The 20,420-nt window shown below is 61.7% G+C and overlaps 2 protein-coding genes across 44 annotated transcripts in view, besides 24 other annotated features; one reads left to right on the top strand and one right to left on the bottom strand.

Moving 5' to 3' along the window:
* Positions 1 to 225: part of a silencer, noted in NCBI's record as "silent region_9039", that runs on past the window's edge. NCBI's record gives its function as "represses an Ori minimal core promoter by ATAC-STARR-seq in GM12878 lymphoblastoid cells {active_cell/tissue: GM12878}" and the evidence as "EXISTENCE:reporter gene assay evidence [ECO:0000049][PMID:35858748]".
* Positions 1 to 7,614, bottom strand: part of TMC6 (transmembrane channel like 6) — a 25,031-nt gene extending 17,417 nt beyond the window's left edge. For 8 of the 43 annotated variants that reach the window (NR_168288.1, NR_168289.1, XM_047435273.1 and 5 more), the window contains exons 1-7: positions 3,799 to 3,942; positions 1,964 to 2,093; positions 1,711 to 1,835; positions 1,464 to 1,553; positions 913 to 1,071; positions 345 to 450; positions 76 to 172 (exon numbers count right to left, since the gene is read on the bottom strand). Coding sequence is in view for 38 of the 43 variants with exons in the window: in XM_047435273.1 (XP_047291229.1) it covers positions 76 to 172; positions 345 to 450; positions 913 to 1,071; positions 1,464 to 1,553; positions 1,711 to 1,835; positions 1,964 to 2,019 (633 nt within the window). In the remaining 5 variants the exon portion in view is untranslated. Of the gene's footprint in view, positions 1 to 75; positions 173 to 344; positions 451 to 912; positions 1,072 to 1,463; positions 1,554 to 1,710; positions 1,836 to 1,963; positions 3,982 to 6,187 lie in introns of those variants that run through there. The other 35 variants (XM_047435274.1, XM_047435259.1, XM_047435278.1 and 32 more) reach the window with 12 other exon arrangements.
* Positions 2,056 to 2,105: a silencer, noted in NCBI's record as "silent region_9040". NCBI's record gives its function as "represses an Ori minimal core promoter by ATAC-STARR-seq in GM12878 lymphoblastoid cells {active_cell/tissue: GM12878}" and the evidence as "EXISTENCE:reporter gene assay evidence [ECO:0000049][PMID:35858748]".
* Positions 2,156 to 2,235: a silencer, noted in NCBI's record as "silent region_9041". NCBI's record gives its function as "represses an Ori minimal core promoter by ATAC-STARR-seq in GM12878 lymphoblastoid cells {active_cell/tissue: GM12878}" and the evidence as "EXISTENCE:reporter gene assay evidence [ECO:0000049][PMID:35858748]".
* Positions 2,576 to 2,825: an enhancer, noted in NCBI's record as "active region_12858". NCBI's record gives its function as "activates an Ori minimal core promoter by ATAC-STARR-seq in GM12878 lymphoblastoid cells {active_cell/tissue: GM12878}" and the evidence as "EXISTENCE:reporter gene assay evidence [ECO:0000049][PMID:35858748]".
* Positions 3,506 to 4,035: a silencer, noted in NCBI's record as "silent region_9042". NCBI's record gives its function as "represses an Ori minimal core promoter by ATAC-STARR-seq in GM12878 lymphoblastoid cells {active_cell/tissue: GM12878}" and the evidence as "EXISTENCE:reporter gene assay evidence [ECO:0000049][PMID:35858748]".
* On the top strand, positions 5,958 to 18,155 carry TMC8 (transmembrane channel like 8). Its single transcript, NM_152468.5, has 16 exons — positions 5,958 to 6,038; positions 6,468 to 6,924; positions 7,069 to 7,217; positions 7,546 to 7,695; positions 7,975 to 8,057; positions 8,593 to 8,729; positions 9,040 to 9,187; positions 9,581 to 9,751; positions 10,057 to 10,196; positions 12,422 to 12,545; positions 12,904 to 13,001; positions 13,192 to 13,375; positions 13,536 to 13,666; positions 13,761 to 13,919; positions 14,349 to 14,427; positions 16,021 to 18,155. The coding sequence occupies exons 2-16, from the start codon at positions 6,776 to 6,778 to the stop codon at positions 16,297 to 16,299; spliced, it is 2,181 nt and encodes a 726-aa protein (NP_689681.2). The 5' UTR covers positions 5,958 to 6,038; positions 6,468 to 6,775; the 3' UTR covers positions 16,300 to 18,155.
* Positions 6,036 to 6,165: an enhancer, noted in NCBI's record as "active region_12859". NCBI's record gives its function as "activates an Ori minimal core promoter by ATAC-STARR-seq in GM12878 lymphoblastoid cells {active_cell/tissue: GM12878}" and the evidence as "EXISTENCE:reporter gene assay evidence [ECO:0000049][PMID:35858748]".
* Positions 6,646 to 7,165: a silencer, noted in NCBI's record as "silent region_9043". NCBI's record gives its function as "represses an Ori minimal core promoter by ATAC-STARR-seq in GM12878 lymphoblastoid cells {active_cell/tissue: GM12878}" and the evidence as "EXISTENCE:reporter gene assay evidence [ECO:0000049][PMID:35858748]".
* Positions 7,276 to 7,665: a silencer, noted in NCBI's record as "silent region_9044". NCBI's record gives its function as "represses an Ori minimal core promoter by ATAC-STARR-seq in GM12878 lymphoblastoid cells {active_cell/tissue: GM12878}" and the evidence as "EXISTENCE:reporter gene assay evidence [ECO:0000049][PMID:35858748]".
* Positions 8,929 to 9,454: an enhancer, noted in NCBI's record as "H3K4me1 hESC enhancer chr17:76129823-76130348 (GRCh37/hg19 assembly coordinates)". NCBI's record gives its function as "activates a minimal SCP1, AML or CMV promoter by ChIP-STARR-seq in naive H9 embryonic stem cells {active_cell/tissue: H9 hESC(naive)}" and the evidence as "EXISTENCE:reporter gene assay evidence [ECO:0000049][PMID:30033119]".
* Positions 9,455 to 9,980: an enhancer, noted in NCBI's record as "H3K4me1 hESC enhancer chr17:76130349-76130874 (GRCh37/hg19 assembly coordinates)". NCBI's record gives its function as "activates a minimal SCP1, AML or CMV promoter by ChIP-STARR-seq in naive H9 embryonic stem cells {active_cell/tissue: H9 hESC(naive)}" and the evidence as "EXISTENCE:reporter gene assay evidence [ECO:0000049][PMID:30033119]".
* Positions 9,695 to 9,804: an enhancer, noted in NCBI's record as "active region_12860". NCBI's record gives its function as "activates an Ori minimal core promoter by ATAC-STARR-seq in GM12878 lymphoblastoid cells {active_cell/tissue: GM12878}" and the evidence as "EXISTENCE:reporter gene assay evidence [ECO:0000049][PMID:35858748]".
* Positions 12,399 to 13,040: an enhancer, noted in NCBI's record as "H3K4me1 hESC enhancer chr17:76133293-76133934 (GRCh37/hg19 assembly coordinates)". NCBI's record gives its function as "activates a minimal SCP1, AML or CMV promoter by ChIP-STARR-seq in naive H9 embryonic stem cells {active_cell/tissue: H9 hESC(naive)}" and the evidence as "EXISTENCE:reporter gene assay evidence [ECO:0000049][PMID:30033119]".
* Positions 12,561 to 12,650: an enhancer, noted in NCBI's record as "active region_12861". NCBI's record gives its function as "activates an Ori minimal core promoter by ATAC-STARR-seq in GM12878 lymphoblastoid cells {active_cell/tissue: GM12878}" and the evidence as "EXISTENCE:reporter gene assay evidence [ECO:0000049][PMID:35858748]".
* Positions 12,781 to 12,830: an enhancer, noted in NCBI's record as "active region_12862". NCBI's record gives its function as "activates an Ori minimal core promoter by ATAC-STARR-seq in GM12878 lymphoblastoid cells {active_cell/tissue: GM12878}" and the evidence as "EXISTENCE:reporter gene assay evidence [ECO:0000049][PMID:35858748]".
* Positions 13,031 to 13,140: an enhancer, noted in NCBI's record as "active region_12863". NCBI's record gives its function as "activates an Ori minimal core promoter by ATAC-STARR-seq in GM12878 lymphoblastoid cells {active_cell/tissue: GM12878}" and the evidence as "EXISTENCE:reporter gene assay evidence [ECO:0000049][PMID:35858748]".
* Positions 13,321 to 13,490: an enhancer, noted in NCBI's record as "active region_12864". NCBI's record gives its function as "activates an Ori minimal core promoter by ATAC-STARR-seq in GM12878 lymphoblastoid cells {active_cell/tissue: GM12878}" and the evidence as "EXISTENCE:reporter gene assay evidence [ECO:0000049][PMID:35858748]".
* Positions 14,041 to 14,210: an enhancer, noted in NCBI's record as "active region_12865". NCBI's record gives its function as "activates an Ori minimal core promoter by ATAC-STARR-seq in GM12878 lymphoblastoid cells {active_cell/tissue: GM12878}" and the evidence as "EXISTENCE:reporter gene assay evidence [ECO:0000049][PMID:35858748]".
* Positions 14,325 to 14,964: an enhancer, noted in NCBI's record as "H3K4me1 hESC enhancer chr17:76135219-76135858 (GRCh37/hg19 assembly coordinates)". NCBI's record gives its function as "activates a minimal SCP1, AML or CMV promoter by ChIP-STARR-seq in naive H9 embryonic stem cells {active_cell/tissue: H9 hESC(naive)}" and the evidence as "EXISTENCE:reporter gene assay evidence [ECO:0000049][PMID:30033119]".
* Positions 15,804 to 15,993: a silencer, noted in NCBI's record as "silent region_9045". NCBI's record gives its function as "represses an Ori minimal core promoter by ATAC-STARR-seq in GM12878 lymphoblastoid cells {active_cell/tissue: GM12878}" and the evidence as "EXISTENCE:reporter gene assay evidence [ECO:0000049][PMID:35858748]".
* Positions 16,601 to 17,800: an enhancer, noted in NCBI's record as "CDK7 strongly-dependent group 2 enhancer chr17:76137495-76138694 (GRCh37/hg19 assembly coordinates)". NCBI's record gives its function as "activates an origin of replication core promoter dependent on BRD2, BRD4, P300/CBP, MED14 and CDK7 cofactors, with strong dependence on CDK7, by STARR-seq in HCT116 cells {active_cell/tissue: HCT116}" and the evidence as "EXISTENCE:reporter gene assay evidence [ECO:0000049][PMID:35650434]".
* Positions 16,601 to 17,809: a biological region, named in NCBI's record as "CDK7 strongly-dependent group 2 enhancer GRCh37_chr17:76137495-76138694".
* Positions 17,443 to 17,522: an enhancer, noted in NCBI's record as "active region_12866". NCBI's record gives its function as "activates an Ori minimal core promoter by ATAC-STARR-seq in GM12878 lymphoblastoid cells {active_cell/tissue: GM12878}" and the evidence as "EXISTENCE:reporter gene assay evidence [ECO:0000049][PMID:35858748]".
* Positions 17,515 to 17,809: a silencer, noted in NCBI's record as "tiled region #9330; HepG2 Repressive non-DNase unmatched - State 20:ReprD, and K562 Repressive non-DNase unmatched - State 14:Gen5'". NCBI's record gives its function as "represses a minimal TATA promoter and a strong SV40 promoter by Sharpr-MPRA in HepG2 and K562 cells {active_cell/tissue: HepG2 | K562}" and the evidence as "EXISTENCE:reporter gene assay evidence [ECO:0000049][PMID:27701403]".
* Positions 19,078 to 19,147: a silencer, noted in NCBI's record as "silent region_9046". NCBI's record gives its function as "represses an Ori minimal core promoter by ATAC-STARR-seq in GM12878 lymphoblastoid cells {active_cell/tissue: GM12878}" and the evidence as "EXISTENCE:reporter gene assay evidence [ECO:0000049][PMID:35858748]".

The raw sequence follows: 20,420 nt of genomic DNA on the forward strand, positions 1-20,420 counted from the left end.
AGGCCGGAGGAGGCACTGAGGCCACCCCAGCCCTGCCCAGCCGCCCCAGCCCCAGGGCAGACCAGGGGCCCATACCAGCACGCAGGCATATCTGAGCCGGCCACAGCAGGAGCAGACCCCGCCGCTGCCCGGCTGGCCCCTCCACTTCCCCCTCGGGGTCCTGCTCTTCTCTCTGGGGACAGAGGCAGCCATAGGTGCCTGGACCAATGAGGGGCCTGACTCTCTCCTTCCTGGAGACCGGCCACCCACGGGCTCAGCCCCTTCTCCCCCACCACCTAGCCCAGCTGAGGAAGTGGGTCTGGGGGCGCAGCAGCGGCGGCATGGTCAGGGTCGGGGCTGCTCACCGCAGGCTGCGTTTCTCAGCCAGGCTTAAGGGCATCCCGCGAAGCATGTGGTCCCGCTGTGCCACTGCCAGGCTCTGGAGCTCCTTCACCAGGAGGCTCTGCTTCTCTGCGAGAGGGAGAGGGAGGTCCTGCCCATCCCCAAGTGCCCCTCCCTGCAGCCCGAAGCCGGGACCCTGGTCAGGCCTGTGTGTCCCTGCGGCACCGTCCCGAGACACCTCGGTGCCCTTATTTGAGCTTCAGTCGCCAATCAGCCGTGTGTTTGCTTCAGTCAGCGACAAGCAGGAAGCTCACAGAGCACAGGGGCCTGTTTCCCACGCACGGTCCCCGACTCGGGGCCCAGGGCCACAGCCCTCCAAGCACTCCAAGGCGCTTGTGAGGTAAGACCCCCACTTCCCTGTCCCCGTGGGTCCCTGCAGAGGGACGGGGGGGCCTTCAGGCAGCCTGCTAAGGGATAGGAGAGGGGCCTCTGGCTCTGCAGCACCCCAGCCACCGCCCAGGCCAGGCTGGCCTCTTGCACCCCACCCCAGGCCGGTGTCCGCCACTGGGGCTCCAGTGCCCACTCACTCACCCTCCTCCTCCAGGGCCGTGGGGTCCAGCTCCAGGTCGTACAGGCGGAGGCTGGGCCAGGCGGAGCGGACAAAGTTCCCGAGCAGGGGCCGGCTGCTCCTGCACCGAAGCTGCACCGTGCGGTTGTAGTACTGGGAGATGATGGCACCTCGGCTGCGGCCTATGGAGGCAGCTGGGCAGGGCCGGGCCGGGCAGGGCCAGGCCTCCCTCCCCTCAGGATGGGCTCACCACAGGCCTCTGCGTCCCTCACCCCTTCCCAGGACCCAGGAAAATCCTTTCAACAAAGACTTCAGGCACCACTGCATTCCGAAAGCCTATTTTTACCCCGTGATGACTCTGGAGTCATTTTTGGAGCCCAGCGAGGGCCACATGGGGCTGTGCTGGGCCCCCAGGCAGCAGATGGGATGGGCTAGGAGCCCGCCCTGGGCCTGGCTCTGAGCTACGGGAGCAGCCACTACCCAGGGAGATGCCTGGCAGGAAGCCCAGCCCAGCCCCAGGGACTGGGGTCAACTCGGGGCCGGGGCCGAGGCCGAGGCTGAGGGTCCCACTCACCAATGGTGCGGCTGGGCATGCTGGCCAGGATGCGGAGTGTGGCCGTGCTCTGGGTGCCCTCGGGCCGCCAGAGTGTCTGCTGGCTACTTCCTACAAAGCAAGAAAGACTCACCAGGGGTCCTGGAGATGCCATTGGCCACAGTATCTCCCACCCCATCCCAGGCCTGCAGAGCTGGGAGGCCCGTCCTGAGGGGCTGGGGCACCCAAGTCTTGGTCCACACCACCCAGCATCCAGGCCTGAGCTCACCTGTCACCTCCCGCTCTCTCTGCTGCAGCTCCAGCCCCTCCTGGGCCGTGCACTGGCTCTGCTCCTGGATGAGCTGCTGGAAGGAGTCGTGCACTTCGCTTTCATCATAGGGGCTGGGGCCCTGGCTGCAGAGGGGGTTGGCGGGGGGGTCAGGCTCCAGCCACCTCTCTCCTTCCAGCAGCCCCTGCTCAGGTGACCTCTCCGTGGGGGGTGGAACATTCCAGCCTCCAGCCCCCAGCCCCAGAGCGCTTACCCCTGGTCCCCTGGGGTCTCAGGGACATCGAGGATGAAGGCCAGTGGCTGGGCCATGTCTCTGGCCAATGCCCGCTAGTCTGCAGACCTAGGGTAGCTCAGAGCCTGGGCGCCACCTCCGGAGCCCCCATCTGATGAGACAGGGGCACAGAGCCAGGGGTGGTCTTCAACGCCTGGCAGCTGTCCACACCACCCATTCCTGGGGGAACCACAGGAGGTGCCACTCACAGCCCAGACAGTCCCGCCCACCCCCCTATCACCCCAGGTACATAAATGGTGAGGCACCGAATAAGCCTCATGCCAGAATGGAATGGGGGGCCCCCTCCAGTGTCAGGGGAGGGGAGAGAGGAAGGAAGGGTGTGGGGTCTGCAGTTCCACATCTGTTTCCTCGATGTCGCCAGTCCCTGGGAAATGGGGAAGAGGTAGGGTGCCTGTAGACACAGCCCCTTTCAGGATCTCCATGCCCAGGGTTCTGGCACAGAGACACCTCCTTTTTGGAGAGAAAGGTCAGAGTAGGCTGTAGGCCTTCTCTGCGTCTGCCCTGTGACCTCAAAGAACTTCCTCTAGCAGGAAATTAGCTGCTGGAGCCCTCACCCCCAACCAGCCCCAGGCGGAAGCAGCACAGGGGGCTCCTCCCCCACACACAGAGGTCACTCCATGCCACCGCCGTCAGGGCGCCAAGGTCCTCATGTTCTCAGAAGACCCACTGCCCTGCATTCCATCATCCCAGGGCGGCCGGCTGGGGGTGGCCAGGACCTCAACAGGCCTCCTTTGTCCTGGCTCTGCCGTCACCCGGCACAACTGGAACCAGAGCAGCCTTGTCTGGGGCCCTGGGCTCGGGGCCCGTTCATCTGTGAGAGTGGAGCCAGGACTCAGCTCCCAGCCACCAGCGAGTCCTGCCGGCCTCTGCCCTGGACTCCTCCTGCGCTCACCCTCAGGAACTCAGGGCTCAAAGTCGGCCGGGTTGAAGGGCGCTTTCCTCGGACAGGCAAAGCCCGGGGGCGCCCCGACAGAGCAGCTCCTTGCAGGGGTGCCAGTCACAGGACCGGACGGCGCCCTCCCTCAGTGTCCTGGGTGCCATCTTCGGGCCCAGGCCCCACACCACCCCCTCCCTCCAGCAGGAGCAAAGACGTGGGAAAACCAGCCCAGAGCTGGGTCCGAGGCGGCCCCACCCAGCCTAACACGGGACAGCTGCCGAAAGAGGGGCTGAGGACGCCCCACCCAGTCCCTAGAGCTGGAATCCCTTCCTCCAGACAGGCCCTTCTAAGCTCAGGGAACCCGGGGACTCGGGCACCCAGCGCCCCAGCACTCCGCCCCGAGGCCCAGGCAAGTCCAGCGGAGTTTCCAGGCGCACCATTCCTGAGCTAGGTGGGGAGAGGCTGGGTGGCGCCCGTTTCCAGGAACCCCCACCCCAGCCGGCAGCGAGCTTCCCGGGAGCAGCCGCTACCCAGGGAGAACCGCAACCTGGCCCCAGAGCCCAGAGCGGCTGCAACTCTGGGGCCACCGAACCCGTCCAGCCGGCCTCCCTGTCCCCCGCCCCTTCCCATCCCGGCCACACCCCCTCCCCTCCCCTCCCCGTGCCCTGGCGCTCGGCTGGGGGACCTGGGTGGGGGCTGCGGATTTTGCTCCCCGCACTGTCCTCCCCGCCCCTGCCGCTCCCAGCTCTGTCCGAGCCGGAGGGTCAAGCCCTGGGAGCTCCAGGAGCACCCGGGGAGGGAACTCGGCTGCCAAATGGCCCCAGAGGCCGAAAGGAATTCAGGGGGGATTGCCGCTGTCCCCGCATAGGAGAAGCAGCTGGGGCTGGCGGGACCCGGGACCGGGATCGCGGCCGCTCACCTGGGAGGCGCCGGGGAGGAGGGGCCGCGCGCGCAGCCAGGGCTCACCTGTGCCCCGCAAGAGCCGCCGGGAACTGAGGTCTCGGCTCTCCTTGCCAAGGGAGTGGCAAAGGGCCCCAGGGGCGACTGGGCCAGTCGCAGGTCTGCCGGGGCCGGGGGAGTAGCCGCACCTCCCGGCCCACGTGGGCGGGGGGGGGGGGGGCGGGCCTCGGCTATCACGTGACCCGGCCCGGCCCGCGGCGCCCCCGCCCTCCTCCGGGCGCCCCGCGGCGACTATGCCTTCCTCCCCTGCCAACTTCCGACCCCTCCTCCTGAGGTCTGAGCTGGGCTGGATTCATTCCAGCCCCTGGTTGAAGTCCCCAATTTTTCTGACGCTCAGTTTCCCCAAGTTCCAAAAAGGGGCAATATTTCCAGACTCATCTGCTTCCCATGGTTAGGGATCGTCCAAGTAAGATGCCGCCGAAAGCCCCAGGGACACAGAGTATCTCACTCCAGATTGGGCAGCGCCCCCCCCCCCGCCGCCCCCGCAAGCCTCCTGCTGACTCTCCCCGACCCCGGCGGGGGGAGCCTGGTTATCTCCCACTCCTGACACCTGGGCGGGGTTCATTGTTTATCTAGCAAGAGTTCTGGCTCACTTCCTGTGTGCTGTGTGGAGAGGAGGGGATGAAAAGGAGGACACGCTGACACTTAGGTGACTGTCCCCAGGTGCTGTACCCGTTGCCCTGTTTTCTGTTATTCCCCATGAGCCAGGAAGGTATGCACTGATATTCCCATTTCACAGATGAGGAAACTGAGGCTGAGAGAAGTTAATCACCCTTTAGGGTGCCCCCAGCCAAAGCAGGAGACTTAGTGGTCCACCTGGGAACTCTATGGAGGAAACTGCCTTTGAGATTGTACCCCCCACCCCAAGCCCATTTGGAAGGGAGGGTCATTCCTGGCGGGGAGAAGCCATGAAGCAGGCAGGGTGAATGTGAGCTGGGGCCCAGGAGGGCAGGAGAGGGCACTGCTGCAGGGGAGAGCAGGCAAGCAAAAGCGAGGACCAGGCAGGGGTCAAGGCTGGGGCCTTTTGGAGCTGCCAGTGTGGTCCTCAGATGGCTACCCCAAGCTGGTTCTTGGCAAGTGGCACCCTGGCATGGAGACCCAGCCCCTGCCTCTCCTCCCACTGCTTCCCCCTCCCTGCATACCCACACTGAATTTGCATGAATGCCACCTCCTCTGGGGAGCCTCCCCAGATTGAACCCTGGTGGAGCACCTACCACTTCCTATTGACATGTACATCTGTGGTTCTGTGCCCCCTCCTACCCCAGCCCACTGTGTGCCCAGCACCAGCACATAGCTTGCGCCTGACACACAGAAAGGACTCTGGAAACCAGGAAGGAGGTGGGCAGAGAGGCAGAAAAGCTATGAACATTCAGACCTGAGATGACTGGGCCCTATAGCAGGTAGAGAGGGAGCAGAGAGGAAGGGCTGCGGGCTTCCCAGGGGCCCAAGGACAGAGAATTGGCAAAGATATGTCTTAAACATCTAGCCTGGGAGAGCATGAATGGAGCCAATTCCTGAGCACTTACTACCGGCCAGGTGCTAGGCCTGGGTCTTGGCACAACCATAACGCCAATGACAGGGGCTGGAAGTACAGCAGTAACACCAAGAGTATCTGGAAACCCAGCAGCCAGGTTCTGGGGAGCCCACCATCCTGTCATTATCACACCCTCCAGGGTGAGGCCGGCAGATAAAGAGTTTGGCCCCTGTGCCCCCACCGTTCCCATCCCCACCCATGTCAGGCTCCCAGCTCAGGCCTCGAGGTCAAGTCCTGCCTATCCAGGCTGGAAGGAGTTGAACAGAGAGGGCCTCAGCTGCAGGCTGGACATCCCTGGAGGCAGCCAGGCGGCAGACCCGGACCAGTGGACCCTAGGGCTGCAGGAGACCAGGCCCTGACTCCTGTGCAGAGGGGAAGGGTGGGCCACCCGCAGCCCAGCATGCACAGAGCTCCCTGGGAGGCCAAGTGGCCTACGCCTGTCACCTTCACCTCTGCATCTCAGGGGCCCACAGGAAGTGCCTGCTTGGCCTCAGTTTAAAGCAGAGGAAACCATGGGGTGAGAGGGGAGGAGGGAGGTAGTGGAGAGGGAAGCTGGGTTTCCTGTCATATGACCCCTCCTCTGGGCTCCCTCACCACCCTGCCTGGCTTGGCAGGAGTCGTCTGAGAAGGGGACTCCTCCAGGGACTTGGTCCCTAGGTCCCCAGGTGAGCTGGATGTCCAGTGGAGGGAGAATGCAGAGGGTGAGGGGCTGTGGGGGCCAGCTAGAGCCCTGCAAGGGTAGCAGTGGGTCCCTGCTCCTGTCCCCACGGCTGGGGCTGTAGCCACAGGTCCTCATCAGGGGCTCGCGGGGTACCTGGGACTGGAGGCTGGACCACAAGAAGGAAGACAGAAGGGGGTCCCCCGACATCCAGAGTCAGATGTGGCAGATGCCGAGTCCCAGGAACTGTGGGGTTTGGGACACAGGCTCTTCCGGAAGGGCAAACTGCCACGTGGAGAAGAGAGGGAATTGTCTCTCCTTGGGGTGACGGTGGGCCCAGGCACAGGTGGATGCGGGGTGCAGCAGGTCTTGGCTTTCTTTGCCTGTGCCGGTCCAGACTTTCTGTGCCCTTTGGATCTTTCACCCCATTTGACAGATGGGGAGACTGAGGCCGTGGCTGTGTGTCCCTCTGAGAGTTGGAGCGGGGCTGGGCCCGAATTCGACCGCAGCAGGATTCTCTCTCATTTCTGAGCCCCGGAGGTGGCAGAGCGGCAGACCCGGGCAAGTGAACCCTAGGGCTGCAGGAGCCCAGGCCCCGACGCCGGCGCAGAGGGGACGGAAGGGCCCGCCCCCAGCCCAGCGTGCACAGAGGCCATAGCCAAGGCCTTAAGGCTCATCCAACCGGGGACTCATATCCCCCCCACCGGCAGCCCGGCGCCCCAGCCTCTACCCGTGCCCGCCGAGATGCTGCTGCCGCGGTCGGTGTCATCGGAGCGGGCCCCTGGGGTGCCGGAGCCGGAGGAGCTGTGGGAGGCAGAGATGGAGCGGCTGCGCGGCTCTGGGACGCCCGTGCGCGGGCTGCCCTATGCCATGATGGACAAGCGCCTCATCTGGTGGGTGCCACGCGGGCGCCAGACGGTGCGTGGGGGGGGTGCTGCGAGGCTGCCCCGTCGGATGGTGTGGGAGCACCCCGTCTGCTTGGCCCGGGTGGGCAGGGCGGGTGACTCAGGGGCGCCCCTGTCACCACCCCCGTCCAGGCAGCTGCGGGAGCCCGCGGGGGTGCAGACCTTGCGCTGGCAGCGGTGGCAGCGCCGGCGGCAGACGGTGGAAAGGCGCCTGCGGGAGGCAGCGCAGCGGCTGGCCCGGGGCCTTGGGCTCTGGGAGGGGGCGCTCTACGAGATCGGGGGTAGGACCCGCGCGACCCGCACCTCCCCTTGCCCTCTCTGGAGCCCCACTGCCCAGATCGGAAAAAGGAGAGTGGCATCATCCCACCTGCCTTCACCCGGGTCCCCCGACCAATCGGCCCCTCCCCCCTCCCACCCCTTCCGCCCGCAGGCACCGCAAACCTCGGGCCCACGCAGCACCCCCAGGTGACTGTCAGCGGTACCTCCGGACTCGGGCGGGTGGGAGCCTGGCGGGCACCCCACGCCGTCCGGTGGGCCCGCCCTTGGACTCTCAGCGCGGCCCCAGCCCCGGCCCCGGCCTCCCTGACCCACCCTGCTCTCCCACTGCAGGCCTCTTCGGCACAGGAATTCGGTCCTACTTCACCTTCCTCCGCTTCCTGCTGCTACTCAACCTGCTGAGCCTGCTGCTCACCGCAAGCTTCGTGCTGCTGCCCCTGGTCTGGCTCCGCCCCCCTGACCCAGGCCCCACCCTGAACTTGAGTGAGTGTGAGGCCCACCAGGGGAAGTGCTCCGGTGCCCACCTGCGCCATGGGGGGGCTGGCCCAGGGCCCAGAGCGTGGCGACAACGCTGGGCGTGGTCCTGCCGTGCAGGCCCCGGGGCTCTCTCTCCCTGACCTCGCCTTGTGTGGGGCACGCCTTTGGCACATCCTCAGCCCCCTGCCCAGGCCTCCCCAGGGTTGGGGGTTATAGAGCAGTAGCCGCAGAGCCTCACCTATGCCTTGGGGATCCCTCTCTATTGACCCCCTTCCTCCTCAACAGCCCTCCAGTGCCCTGGTAGCCGCCAGTCCCCGCCTGGCGTTTTGAGGTTCCACAATCAACTTTGGCATGTTTTGACTGGCAGGGTGAGTGAGGTCTGTCCCGGCTATGGTCCAGAGTCTGGGAGACCCAGGGAACTGGCTTCAGGGGACACAAGTCTAAGAGGACCTCTGCTCCTCCAGGGACATTTCGGCTCCTCAGGGGATGGTCTTACCTAGACAGACTGGCCTGGCCGGTGGTGGGGTTAGAGAGAGGCTGAGGCCACTGTGCCCAACATAGACTCATGGACACATGCCCGTGGTCCTCAGAGCCCAGCTGGTGTAGGCGGTGCCAGGGACAAAGGGGGAAAAGTGCCCCGGCCTCTGGGAGAAGCACTTCCCCACCCTCATCCTGGGAAGCCATCGAGTGGTCACCAATGGGGTTCCTGGGTTCCAGTCGTGGCTCTATTTCTCAAAGCCCTGTGACCGTGGGCACGTTGCCGAACCTCTGTGGGCCCTTGTAAGACGGGACACTCCCTACCTGATGGGGGGATTGCACGGGGGCTAACAAGATCATATATGGAAAGCACTTGAGCAGAGCCTGGTGCTCACCCGGGCTGGGTATCTTCGTCGCTGTCCCCAGGCCTTCACCAACACCTATCTCTTCTACGGTGCGTACCGAGTGGGGCCGGAGAGCAGCTCCGTGTACAGCATCCGCCTGGCCTACCTCCTCAGCCCGCTGGCCTGCCTGCTCCTCTGCTTCTGTGGGACTCTGCGGCGGTGAGAGCGAGGTCCACACCTTCACCCCTTCCCCAGGGAATCTTCCCTGATCACCCCTTCCTTGGCAGGGTACCCTCCCATTGGCAGGAAGGCCCATGGCCCGGCACAGCAGGCTCCTGGGTGCTTCCTCAGCCCAGGCTCTGGCCGCAAACCTTAGGAACAGGGCCACCGCCCCCTACCCCGACTCCTCACTCACCAGGACCTGCACCTGGGGCTGCAGGGGCCTTCCCAGACCCAGAGCCGAGCCAAGGCTGAGGCTGGATGGTAGAGGTGCCCCTCCTCCAGCAGCCCCTGGTCTCCTGCCCCGCAGGATGGTGAAGGGGCTGCCGCAGAAGACTCTGCTGGGTCAGGGCTATCAGGCGCCTCTCAGCGCCAAGGTCTTCTCCTCATGGGACTTCTGCATCCGGGTGCAGGAAGCAGCCACCATCAAGAAGCATGAGATCAGCAACGAGTTCAAGGTGTGTGCACGAGTGAGTGCCTGAGATCCACAAGCTCCAGGTATATGGGAGCGAGTGCGTGAGAGCCACGTGTTCCAGGTGTGTGCGAGCAAGTGCGACCGTGCCAGTGTGTGTGAGCGTGTGTGGGAGGGAGCCTGTGGGAGCGTGATGGAGAGCGTGTGAATGTGTGTGCATGTGTGGCCGAGTGTGAGGGCACATGTGACTGAATGGGTGATGGCGAGCACGCCTGTGAATGTGTGAATCTGAGTGTCTATGGGAGCATGACAGTGTGAGAGTTTGTGACTGTGTATGTGAGCGTGAATGGTTGTGACTGTGTGTGAGAGCGTTTCCTGCACCCTTTCCTCCCATGCCCACCCCGCCTGCAGCTGCCTCTGTCCCCACCCTTCCGGGCAGGTGGAGCTGGAGGAGGGCCGTCGCTTCCAGCTGATGCAGCAGCAGACCCGGGCCCAGACGGCCTGCCGCCTGCTCTCCTACCTGCGGGTCAACGTACTCAACGGGCTCCTGGTGGTTGGGGCCATCAGCGCCATCTTCTGGGCTACCAAGTACTCACAGGACAACAAGGAGGTGTCAGGCAACTGCATTCATTTAATCCTGGCCAGAACTGCGGGGGTGAGACAGGATGATCCCATTTTACAGATGAGGAAACCGAGGCTCAGAGAGGTTCAATCGGTCGTGGCCACAGGTCACGGCCAAGGCAGGCGGGCTCCCACTGGATATTCCCGCCAACTGCCAGGCTGCTGCAGGGAATAGCTTACAGGCGACCCTATTCTGGGCCTGCCCCAGAGTTACACTTTAGGGCACTGTGGGGGGCGGGGAGCAGACAGGGGCCCCCCAGCACGCGGGCTCCCCTGACCTGCCTTTTCCCGCAGGAGTCCCTGTTTCTGCTGCTCCAGTACCTGCCCCCTGGGGTCATCGCCCTGGTCAACTTCCTGGGTCCCCTGCTGTTCACATTTCTGGTCCAGCTGGAGAACTACCCTCCCAACACGGAGGTCAACCTCACTCTGATCTGGTGAGTGCCACCCTTGGTGGGGACAAGTGGGCATGTAACAAGTCTGCATCCTGCTGCTCTCTTTTGGTTGTCACCTGGCACCTGGGGTCCCCAGCTGAGAGGCTTCCCCCTTCACTAGTGGCCCAAGGGAAGGCAGGTACACACCTCACAGCACACGACCTCAGGGCCCCAGGTCTAAGGCTTTCCAATCCCCCACCTCCAAAGGAAGCCGCCAGTCTGGACCAAGCTCCGGCCATTCAGTGGAGCAAGGGACTGTGGCCAGGGGTGCTGGGAATGGGCTTTGCACACAGGAAAACCAGCAACACGGGACATGCAGAGCTTCTACATGCCGAGGGTTTACTCCCCTTACCTGGACAACCCTCACGTGACCCGTGAAGTCCAGACCATCCTCATCCCCCTTGAGGGATGAGGAAACTGAGGTTCACATGAGTGAAGCGCCCAGCCAAAGTCAAGCTCATCGTGCCTGCCAGGTGCAAGTTCAAAAGCAAGCCCTCGACCTCCTGGGCTCAAGCGATCCTCCCGCCGGAGCAGCTGGGACTACCACTCCCAGGTTCTGCCATCTTCTGTCTCAGCACTTAGGTCCTGTCTAGACCCCCTACTTCTCCACCCCTCATCCAGCTGCAGAAATTCTTGTGTAAAGCCCACCTGAGCTCCCACTGGCTTCTCTCCCTCACGCCACCCTCAGTCACCACTTGCCCTAACTGCTTTTCCCTCTGCTTCCTCAAAGTCAGCTGTGTTTGGTTTGCTTTGAAACTTTATTTTTTGAGGCCGGGCATGGTGGCTCACGCCTGTAATCCCAGAACTTTGGGAGGCCAAGGTGGATCACCTGAGGTCAGGAGTTCGAGACCAGCCTGGCCAACATGGTGAAACCCTGTCTCTACTAAAAACACAAAAATCAGCCAGGTGTGGTGGTGCACACCTGTAATCCCAGCTACCCGGGAAGCTGAGGCAGGAGAATCACTCGAACCCAGGAGACAGATGTTGCAGTGAGCAGAGATTGCGCCACTACACTCCAGCCTGGGTGACAGAGTGTGACTTCATCTCAAAAAAGAAAACAAAACAAAAAAAGCTCTCACCTACCCCTAGCTCCCTCAACAGGAGAACCACTGTTCCCAGCCACTCTGTAGCCCCATATCAGCAGTGGGAATGTTCACCCTTAGAGATAACACGCAACCAGGCACAGTGACTCACGCCTGTAAAGGCCAACACTTTGGAAGGCCAAGATGGGAGAATCACTTGATCCCAGGAGTTTGAGACCGGCCTGGGCAACATGGCAAGACCCCGTCTCTACAAAAAATACAAAAAAATTAACTGGGCATGATGAAAGACTAGGACACACAGTCCTAGCTACTAGAGAAGCTGAGGTGGGAGGATCACTTAAGCCCAGGAGGTCAAGGCTACAGGGAGCTGTGATCGCGTCACTGCACTCCAGCCTAGGCAATGGAGTGAGACCCTATCTCAAAAAAAAAAAGCAAAAACAGATAACATGCATGTGATGATGTTTCGTTTAGACAATCACCTATTTGGTCTGGTCATGCATTGTGCAGTACATATGTGTGGCACGTGTTTATGACATGCAAGCTTGTGTCAGTGGGCTTCAATGTCCATAGGCGGCGGAGGAAAGGAGGAGCTCGCCTGCAGTCAGGATCCTGAAAAGGCCACAGGCTTCTCCACCGCAGGGCTTGCTGCATGTGCCTCTCCACACCAGGCATGAGGGAACATGGCTGGACTGTGCAGTGTTTCTCAAACTGATCTAAAAACAGAACCCTTGGCCAGGCGCCGTGGCCCACACCTGTAATCCCAGCACTTTGGGAGGCCAAGGCGGGTGGATCACCTGAGGTCAGGAGTTCGAGACCAGCCTGGCCAACATGGCGAAACCCTGTCTGTACTCAAAATACAAAATTTAGTCAGAAATCGCTTGAACCCAGGAGGCAGAGGTGGCAGTGAGCCGAGGTCACAACACTGAACTCCTGCCTGGGTGACAGAGTGAGACTCGGTCTTGAAACAAAACGAAAACACAGAACCCTTTTTCCCATGAATCGCCTGGAGACTCGGACTCTGAGAACGCACTTTGGACCACATTGCCACAGACAGAGCAGGTTGGAAGGAGGCTGGGCCCAGGACACAACATGATCCCACTCGGACATCAGCCACACCTATAGCCTGGGTAGAGCCCGGTGCCCATGTGCCTGGGCCCCTCCACCTGACAAGGTCCCTGCCCCCAGGTGCGTGGTGCTGAAGCTGGCCAGCTTGGGGATGTTCTCCGTCTCCCTGGGTCAGACCATACTGTGCATTGGCAGAGACAAGAGCAGCTGTGAGTCCTACGGCTACAACGTTTGTGACTATCAGGTGGCTGGCAGCCCGGCGGGGCCTGTCCCTCCCTTCCTTCTCCCCAAAAAGCTCACCTCAAACTGTGCAGAGCCCTGTTCCTGCCCCTTTAGTCACCTTTGAGAGAAGCTGTGAGCAGGGCTGCCTGCACCGCCGCACACCTCCAGGGGGCGCCACTGCTGCCACATGGTGTAGTGTGGCTGCCCTGGCTGTGGGGCTTCCTGCTCTAATCCCATCCTCAAGGCCTGGGTTTCAACCTAACGATTCTATCAGACACCAGGCAAGGCACCTGCACCACAGAAACCCTCACAGGAGGCTAAGGGAAGGAAGGGCCGGGGTGGCCGTGAGTGGTGACGGGTCCCCTTCCCCTGCACCCCAGTGCTGGGAGAACTCCGTGGGGGAGGAGCTGTACAAGCTGAGTATCTTCAACTTCCTCCTCACCGTGGCCTTCGCCTTCCTGGTCACCCTGCCTCGGAGGTGAGCCCCGGGGTGACACCTCCAGAAGGGCGGGGGTGCCGCGAGCATGTTGGGGGTGGCCAGTGGCTACAGCCAAGGGTGAGCGGGTCCAGTGTGGAGCCCGGGAGTAAGTGGCAGGCTGTGGCCATGACCAATACAGCCCACGCATCTGTCTGGAGTGGTGAGTACCTGGACCCTCCCATCCCTGCAGGCTGCTGGTGGACCGGTTCTCAGGCCGGTTCTGGGCCTGGCTGGAACGGGAGGAGTTCCTGGTCCCCAAGAATGTGCTGGACATCGTGGCGGGGCAGACGGTCACCTGGATGGGCCTCTTCTACTGCCCCCTGCTGCCCCTGCTGAATAGCGTCTTCCTCTTCCTCACCTTCTACATCAAGAAGGTGACGGCTCATGGCTGGGGGGTATGGGGTTCGTGCCTCTGGGTGGATGCCTTGAGCTGGGCTCGCCTCCTGCTCCTGCTCCTGCCCCCTTCCCTGGGTGTCAGCCCCCTGGGGTCTGCATAACTCGCTGACTCCTGGTTGCTATTGCTTGCGCCCCCAGTACACCCTCCTGAAGAACTCCAGGGCATCTTCGCGGCCCTTCCGTGCCTCCAGCTCCACCTTCTTCTTCCAGCTAGTGCTCCTCCTGGGCCTGCTTCTGGCTGCAGTGCCCCTGGGCTATGTGGTCAGCAGGTGAGGGGAAGAGGAGGGGGGCACCCAGAGGCTGGCAGGGGCAGTTTCTCACCCAGGACCCTGATGCCAGCCCCACTTGGCCATCTCTCGCCAGCATCCACTCCTCCTGGGACTGCGGCCTCTTCACCAACTACTCAGCACCCTGGCAAGTGGTCCCGGAGCTGGTGGCCCTTGGGCTCCCGCCCATTGGCCAGCGTGCCCTCCACTACCTGGGCTCCCACGCCTTCAGCTTCCCCCTCCTCATCATGCTCAGGTTCTCAGGGCAGCCGGGGCCATGGGAGGGGACACCTGGAGGGGGAGGTCCTTCCTTCCATGGGGGTGGTGAGCCTGTGCACCCCCAACCAGGAGCCAGACGCAGAAAGCCAAGGGAAGCAGGGGCCTCTGAAAAGCAGGAACCTCCTGGGCCCACCCTCTGGGCTGCCATGGGGATTGCAGGATCACTGGGGAAGCACCGTGTCTGGGTGGCTGCAGCTGCTGAGCTATTGGTATTGCTGTGCCAGAGGGGAGGGGATGAGGGGCTCTGCGAGGAAGGAGAGGAGGGTCCCATCCTCAGATACAGCAGTGTGCAGTGAGAAGACCCCAGTACCGCGTATTGTAGAGATTGAGGTGGGGAGAGAGGAAGTCAGGGAGAGGCGCCTGTGGCCCCAGGGGCAACTGACCACGAATCCCCTTCCCACCCAAGCCTTGTCCTGACGGTGTGCGTCTCCCAGACCCAGGCCAATGCCAGGGCCATCCACAGGCTCCGGAAGCAGCTGGTGTGGGTGAGTGTCCTCGGGGCTGGTGAGGGGACAGCAGCTTCAGTGGAAACCCTTCCCTATGTGTGGCCGAGGGCCTAGAACACGTCTGAGCGGGTCAGGTGGGTTCTTCCCACTGGAGGGCGTGGCCTCAGGCTGAGAGTGAAGACGGGGAAGGGGAGGAAGAGAACAGCTCGGGCTCCTGAGACCAGGAGCCAGACCTGGTAAGTACATGACCTTAGGGGCTGGGCCTTTGCCTGTAATCCCAACGCTTTGGAGGCCCAGGCAGGAGGATCGGATCACTTGAAGCCATGAGTTAAAACCAGCCTGGGCAACAAAGCAAGACCCTGGTCTCCACCAAAAATAAGTAATTAATTTTTTAAAAGGAGAATGTGGCCGGGCGTGGTGACTCACGCCTGTAATCCCAGCACTTTCAGAGGCCGAGGTGGGTGGATCACCTGAGGTCAGGAGTTCAAGACCAGCCTGGCCAAAATAGCGAAACCCCGTCTCTACTTAAAAAAAAAAAAAAAAAAAAAAAAACCGGGCACGGTGGTTCGTGCCTGTAATCCAGCACTTTGGGAGGCCGAGGTGAGTGGATTGCCTGAGGTCAGGGGTTCAAGACCAGCCTGGCCAACATAGTGAAACCCCGTCTGTACTAAAAATACAAAAAATTAGCTGGGCGTGATGGTGGGCGCCTGTAATCCCAGCTACTAGGGAGGCTGAGGCAGGAGAATCGTTTAAACTCAGGAGGCGGAGGGGCGGAGGTTGCAGTGAGCTGAGACCGCCCCATTGCACTCCAGCCTGGGCAACAAGAGCAAAACTCCGTCTCAAAAAAGGAAAAAAGGATAACATGGCTGAGTGCAGTGGCTCACGCCGAGGCGTGAAGAGTGCTTGAGTTCAGGAGTTTGAGACCAGGCTGAGCAACATAGCAAGACCTCGTCTCTACTAAAAATCAAATAAATGAGCTGGGCGTGGTGGCGCGTGCCTGTGGTCACAGCTATTCCGGAGGCTGAGGTGGGAAGATCGCTTGAGCCTGAGAGGTCCAGGCTGCAGTGGGCTGTGGTCTTGCTACTGCAATCCTGCCTGGGCAACAGGGAGACACCCAGTTTCCACAAAAAAAAAAAAAAATTACGACTTTAGGCTTGGGGCCAGGGGCTTAATGGAGCTGAGGGAGGAACAGTGACCTGGCTAAGGCGTGGCCTCAGGGTGGGGCCTCTACCGGGGGCGTGGCCTTGGGCTGCTTGGGGACGGACTCTTAGCGGGCGTGGTCTAGATCTGCATGGGGTGGGACCCTAGTGGGGCGTGGTCTCAGGGTGCGTTGGGGGCGGGGCCCTTGGAGGTCGTGGTCTCGGGCGGGGACGTGGAAGGAGTGGCATCTGGCTGCGTTGTGGACGGGACTCCTGAGGGCGTGGTCTAGGGCTGCATCGGGGCGGGACCCTGGTGGGGCGTGGCCCTGGGAGGGTGTGGCCTCGAGCGGGGCGTGGCCTCGGGCGGGGCGTGGCCTCTGGCTACTTTGGGTGCGGGCTGGCCCATGGGCCGCAGAGTTGCTGCCGCTGCTGTCCTCACACCCGCTCGTGGGAAGCAGCGCCTGTCGCAACTCGCCACTTGTTCTCCTCACAGCAGGTTCAGGAGAAGTGGCACCTGGTGGAGGACCTGTCGCGACTGCTGCCGGAGCCAGGCCCGAGCGACTCTCCGGGCCCCAAGTACCCTGCCTCCCAAGCTTCGCGCCCGCAGTCCTTCTGCCCCGGATGCCCATGCCCTGGCTCCCCGGGCCACCAGGCCCCGCGGCCGGGCCCCTCCGTCGTGGATGCCGCGGGACTGCGTTCCCCTTGCCCTGGACAGCACGGTGCCCCGGCCTCCGCCCGCAGATTCCGCTTCCCCAGCGGCGCGGAGCTGTAACCCCTACCCCTGCCTCCCCGAAGCCTCCCTGGGGCCCCTTCAGGCCTCCTTACTCCATCTTCCAGACCCCTGGCGACCACCGCCCCTCTCAGTGGCTCCAGGGCCTCCCTCAGAGGTCCCCAAAGATGGACACACAACCCCAGCGGCAGCAGGAAAAACATATGGGAATTTTCTTTCTATATTTTAATCTCATCCCTTTAAAATGTCTATTTTTTATTGTGTTTTTTATAATATACATAATCTATTAGTATAGTATCTCTTGAATGCGATTTTTTCTAGAATGTGTTCTGCTGATTTGTTTTAGAGCCATGAGTGCAATTTATACACATACATCTATTGGGAATGCTCAGAAGTTGTTTACTGATGGAAGTGCCTTCAGAAGAGTCCGGGAACCACTTCCTAAGGAAGGAAAGAGCTGGCCACAGTTAGAGCAAGCCTGCCTGGGGCCCTGCTCTGTGTTCCAGCTGCAAACTGCCTGCATCATCCCTTCCTGTTACTCTTCCTTCACCTGAGACAGTCGAGGCCACAGCGTCAGCCAGGGCCAGAGCTGGGATTTGAACCCAGGCACTCGGGCTCCAGAGCCACACTGCCCCAGTGTGGGGCTTAGTGGCGGCTCCTGGCCCTGACTGAGGGGCTGACTGAAGCCTGGTGAGAGCGTGCTGGGTCAGCCTCTCCCTGGCGGGAATCCTCTCCGTCCAGTCTTCTAACCTAGCAGCCTCACGTCCACAGAGCTGCCTTGTGAAACTCAGCAGAGCCCTGGCTTCCTGCAGAGCCGTGTTCTCCCAGCCTGCTTCATGGCTCCCTGGTTGAGCCAAGCTTGCGGATCCGTGGGGTGAAGGTACCCGCACCGCCTGGGCCTTAGTGGTATGTACGGGCCTGCATCGTGAGCAGCGGGCGGGGGCCCAGGCAGGTGAGGCAGCTGGCCACAAGGGCAGGGCCCGGCCCCCCTCCCAAGGCTGTGTCTGATATTCTTGAGCCTGTTCGAGTTTCCTTTTCCAAGCCTCCTGTTCTCCCACCCCCACCCCTGCCATGCTGCAGTGACTAAATCTGTGGTTCTCATCCTTGGAGAACACCTGAGTAGCTGCTACAAGCTGGCCACAGCCCAGCGACTCTGATGTGGTTGGGCTGGGTGTGGCCAGCAGCCAGGGCATCGGGACTTTTCGAAGCTCCCAGGTGACTCACCGGCAGCTGGGGATGAGAACTGTCAGGAGGGAAGGTCAGAAGTCCCAGGATGCACTTGAAAAGCCTCTAGCTCCACCAGTGACCAGCTCCTGGCTGGACTCCTGGTCTGGACTCAGCATCAGGGAGGCTCTGGCCTCTCGCCCTCAGGGCTGGGGGCTTCTTCACATGGTCATCAAAGACTTGGCCAGTTCCGCCTCTCCCACGGCCGTCCTTGTCTCACCCAGCATCACGACGCATCAGTTCACCAACAAACACGATTCAGTGCTGCTAGTGCTGGGTCCTGTTCTGGGGGCTGGTGATGAGGCCAAGAGGGAAAGAGGGAGCTCTGTGTTCCATCGAGGGGGCGACAAGCCTGGACCAGATGAAAGTGACTCATGTTGTTAATTAGCGGCTTAGGGCCAAAGGTGGCCCCTGGACCAGTGGCCTCAGCATCACCTGGGAAAAGGTTAGAAATGAACATTCCCAGGCCCCACCTCAGCCTCCTGAATCAGAGCATCCCTTTGGCAAACCATACTGAGAAACAACCACGTGCATCACCAAGCGCTGTGAAGAAGGCAAGCTTTGAGACCTTGAAGGAATCATCAAACTCTGGGCCTCGGTGTGCTCACCCAGGGCGAGACAAAGACGCCATGCTCCTCCAAGTGGCCTCCAAGATTAAATGAGCAATGACTTTTTGTGTGTGTGTTTTTTTTTTTTTTGGGGGGTGGGGACAGAGTCTCTTTCTGTTGCCCAGGCTGGAGTGCAGTGGCAAGATCTTGGCTCACTGCAACCTCTGCCTCACAGGTTCAAGCCATCCTCCTGCCTCAGCCTCCCGAGTAGCTGGGACTACAGGTGCCCGACACCACACCCGGCTAATTTTTTGTATTTTTAGTAGAGATGGGGTTTCACCATGTTGGCCAGGCTGGTCTCTAACTCCTGACCTCAGGTGATCCACCTGCCTCGTCCCCCCAAGGTGCTGAGATTACATGTGTAATCCACCAAACTCGGCCCATACAGTGACTTTTGAAGTGTCCCCATGGGGACCTAGAAGTGCAGTGGCGGCTCCTATTACAATGTGGTCACTGGCCTGAAGGAGCCAAATGGGAGATGATGGGGAGTGGACCTGGGGCCCCCTGTGATCAGGACCACCCAGGAAGACAGCCCAGGGGGCCTCGAGCGATGGGCTTCTTCCCACAGGAGGGCTCTTGGAGCCAGTGACAGGCAGGACCTTGGAGAAAGGGAGGCTTTGGACAGGAGCTGAGGGCAGAGAGGGGGCCTGAGCAAAGATGTGGTAAAGGGGCCACGGTGGAGGCTGGGAAGCTGGAAATCTGAGGCCTCTAGACTGGGATGCAGGGCACACGGGGCCAGTGCGAAGACGGAACCGGTGCTCTGGCAGCGGGTGCCGTGGGCTAGGATGACTTTCTGTAGATGACGGAGCTGGGGGCCATGACCTAACAAGGGGCTCTGCCAGGAGCTTAGAAGTCCTGCCGGGCAGGGAGGGACTCTCTGGGGCTTATTGCAATAGATGCAGTAAAGGTCTCACCAGGTGGGAGAGCCCACCTAGGTGGGGTGTCCCAGCCACCCCCAGCCTTGGGGACTCCTGGGCCCTCCCCTGCCCAGCCCTGAGAGACTGCCCTGTCTTTCTGTGCCCCTGCAACCCCGCTATCCTGGCCAGGGCAGCCCAGAGCAGAGTCCCACCCGCAGGACCTTTCTGGGGACACAGTATGGGGGAGGAAACGCGGAGACGCTGGGAAGAGCATTTGTTACAGAGGACAGTGGCCTCTGCGAGCAAAAATCACAGAACATCAGCCTGAAGCGGGTGGCTAGAGAGCTTTTGGGGGCCCCCAAACTCCACACAGGGTGACCTGGGGGTGACCTTGGAGGCGTGGCTGCTGTGTCCTGGCTTACTCTGCAGTCTGGACAGAGGGGCAGCGCAGCCCAGAGAACTGGTCAGCCAGACCGGTGCACAAGTGATTCCTGGGGGCGGAGGGGTGCAGGAGAGATGTTTGGGTCCCCCAAGGCCTGGGGAAAATGGCCCATGAGTCTGCCTTCGCTCTCTGACCCCAGCTTCCCCACAGACTGGGAAGAGGAAGAGCTCCTCATGAGCTGCCTTAACTCAAGGTTCCCCTGAACACCACCACGTGGAGAAAAAGAGTGAGTTTCCCTGGCCTCCAGGCAAGAGGCTGCCAGCAGCCCAGGGCCTGGGCAGCCAGCCAGCTCCCCAGTGACCTCTGGCTCCCTTCAGTCTTCAGTTCCCTTCCCCACCCGCCTTCAGCAGAAGTGAGAACAGACTTTGGGAAGGGAAGGGAGTTTTACTAAGAAACTAAGAGAAAATGCTCTTGCTCCCCAGCTGGGAGAAACCGAAAACAGAGAGGCCGGTGGGTGCACAGGAGGCAGCCTCCATCCCCGGGACCATGGGTAGCAAGGTGCAGAAACGGACTCATGCCAGCTGGGAGAGGGGGCCACCGAGGGGTCAACAGAGCCAGTCTGCAGTGACCTCCAGGACACCTGCACCTGCCTCCCCACCATCCTTCTGGCCACTCCCTGGTCAGCAGGGCCACTCCCTCAGACCAGCTTCCCAACACACCCAGGCCTCCGGTGCAGCAAGTGCCTGGGAAAGGCTGAGAGGAGAGCTGGGCCGGGGCTGTGAGTGGCCTCCCTTGGTCAGGTGTTCACTCCTGGACGGTGCCCAGGGGCAGAGAGTGTGATTGACCGGTCAGGAGCCACAGGTGGCAGCAGCTCCCACAGGAGGCAATGGTCACCTGGTGGCAGGGGACATATTCCTGAAGGAGGCAGCCAGAAAAGGCATTCCCCACACAAAGTGTGGGAAACTGAGCCGGGCCAGAAAGTGACAGGCTGGTCCAGCAGCCCCAGGCTGAGCTTGGGCACAAAGCCGGGTGCAGTGGCCCACAGCGGAGCTGGCAGGGCCCCAGCCTCAATCCCTTGCGCCCTTACATCTC

Source organism: Homo sapiens, chromosome 17 (assembly GCF_000001405.40).
Source record: "Homo sapiens chromosome 17, GRCh38.p14 Primary Assembly".
NCBI lineage: Eukaryota > Metazoa > Chordata > Mammalia > Primates > Hominidae > Homo > Homo sapiens.

What these genes read in the sequence shown, in the direction of transcription:
- TMC8 (NM_152468.5), top strand. Translation starts at nt 6,776, where the DNA reads ATGCTGCTGCCGCGGTCGGTGTCATCGGAGCGGGCCCCTGGGGTGCCG. An exon ending in AGGCCCCACCCTGAACTTGA is followed by an intron (nt 7,696 to 7,974) that starts GTGAGTGTGAGG and finishes CCTCCTCAACAG; the next exon opens with CCCTCCAGTGCCCTGGTAGC. An exon ending in TCCGGAAGCAGCTGGTGTGG is followed by an intron (nt 14,428 to 16,020) that starts GTGAGTGTCCTC and finishes TTCTCCTCACAG; the next exon opens with CAGGTTCAGGAGAAGTGGCA.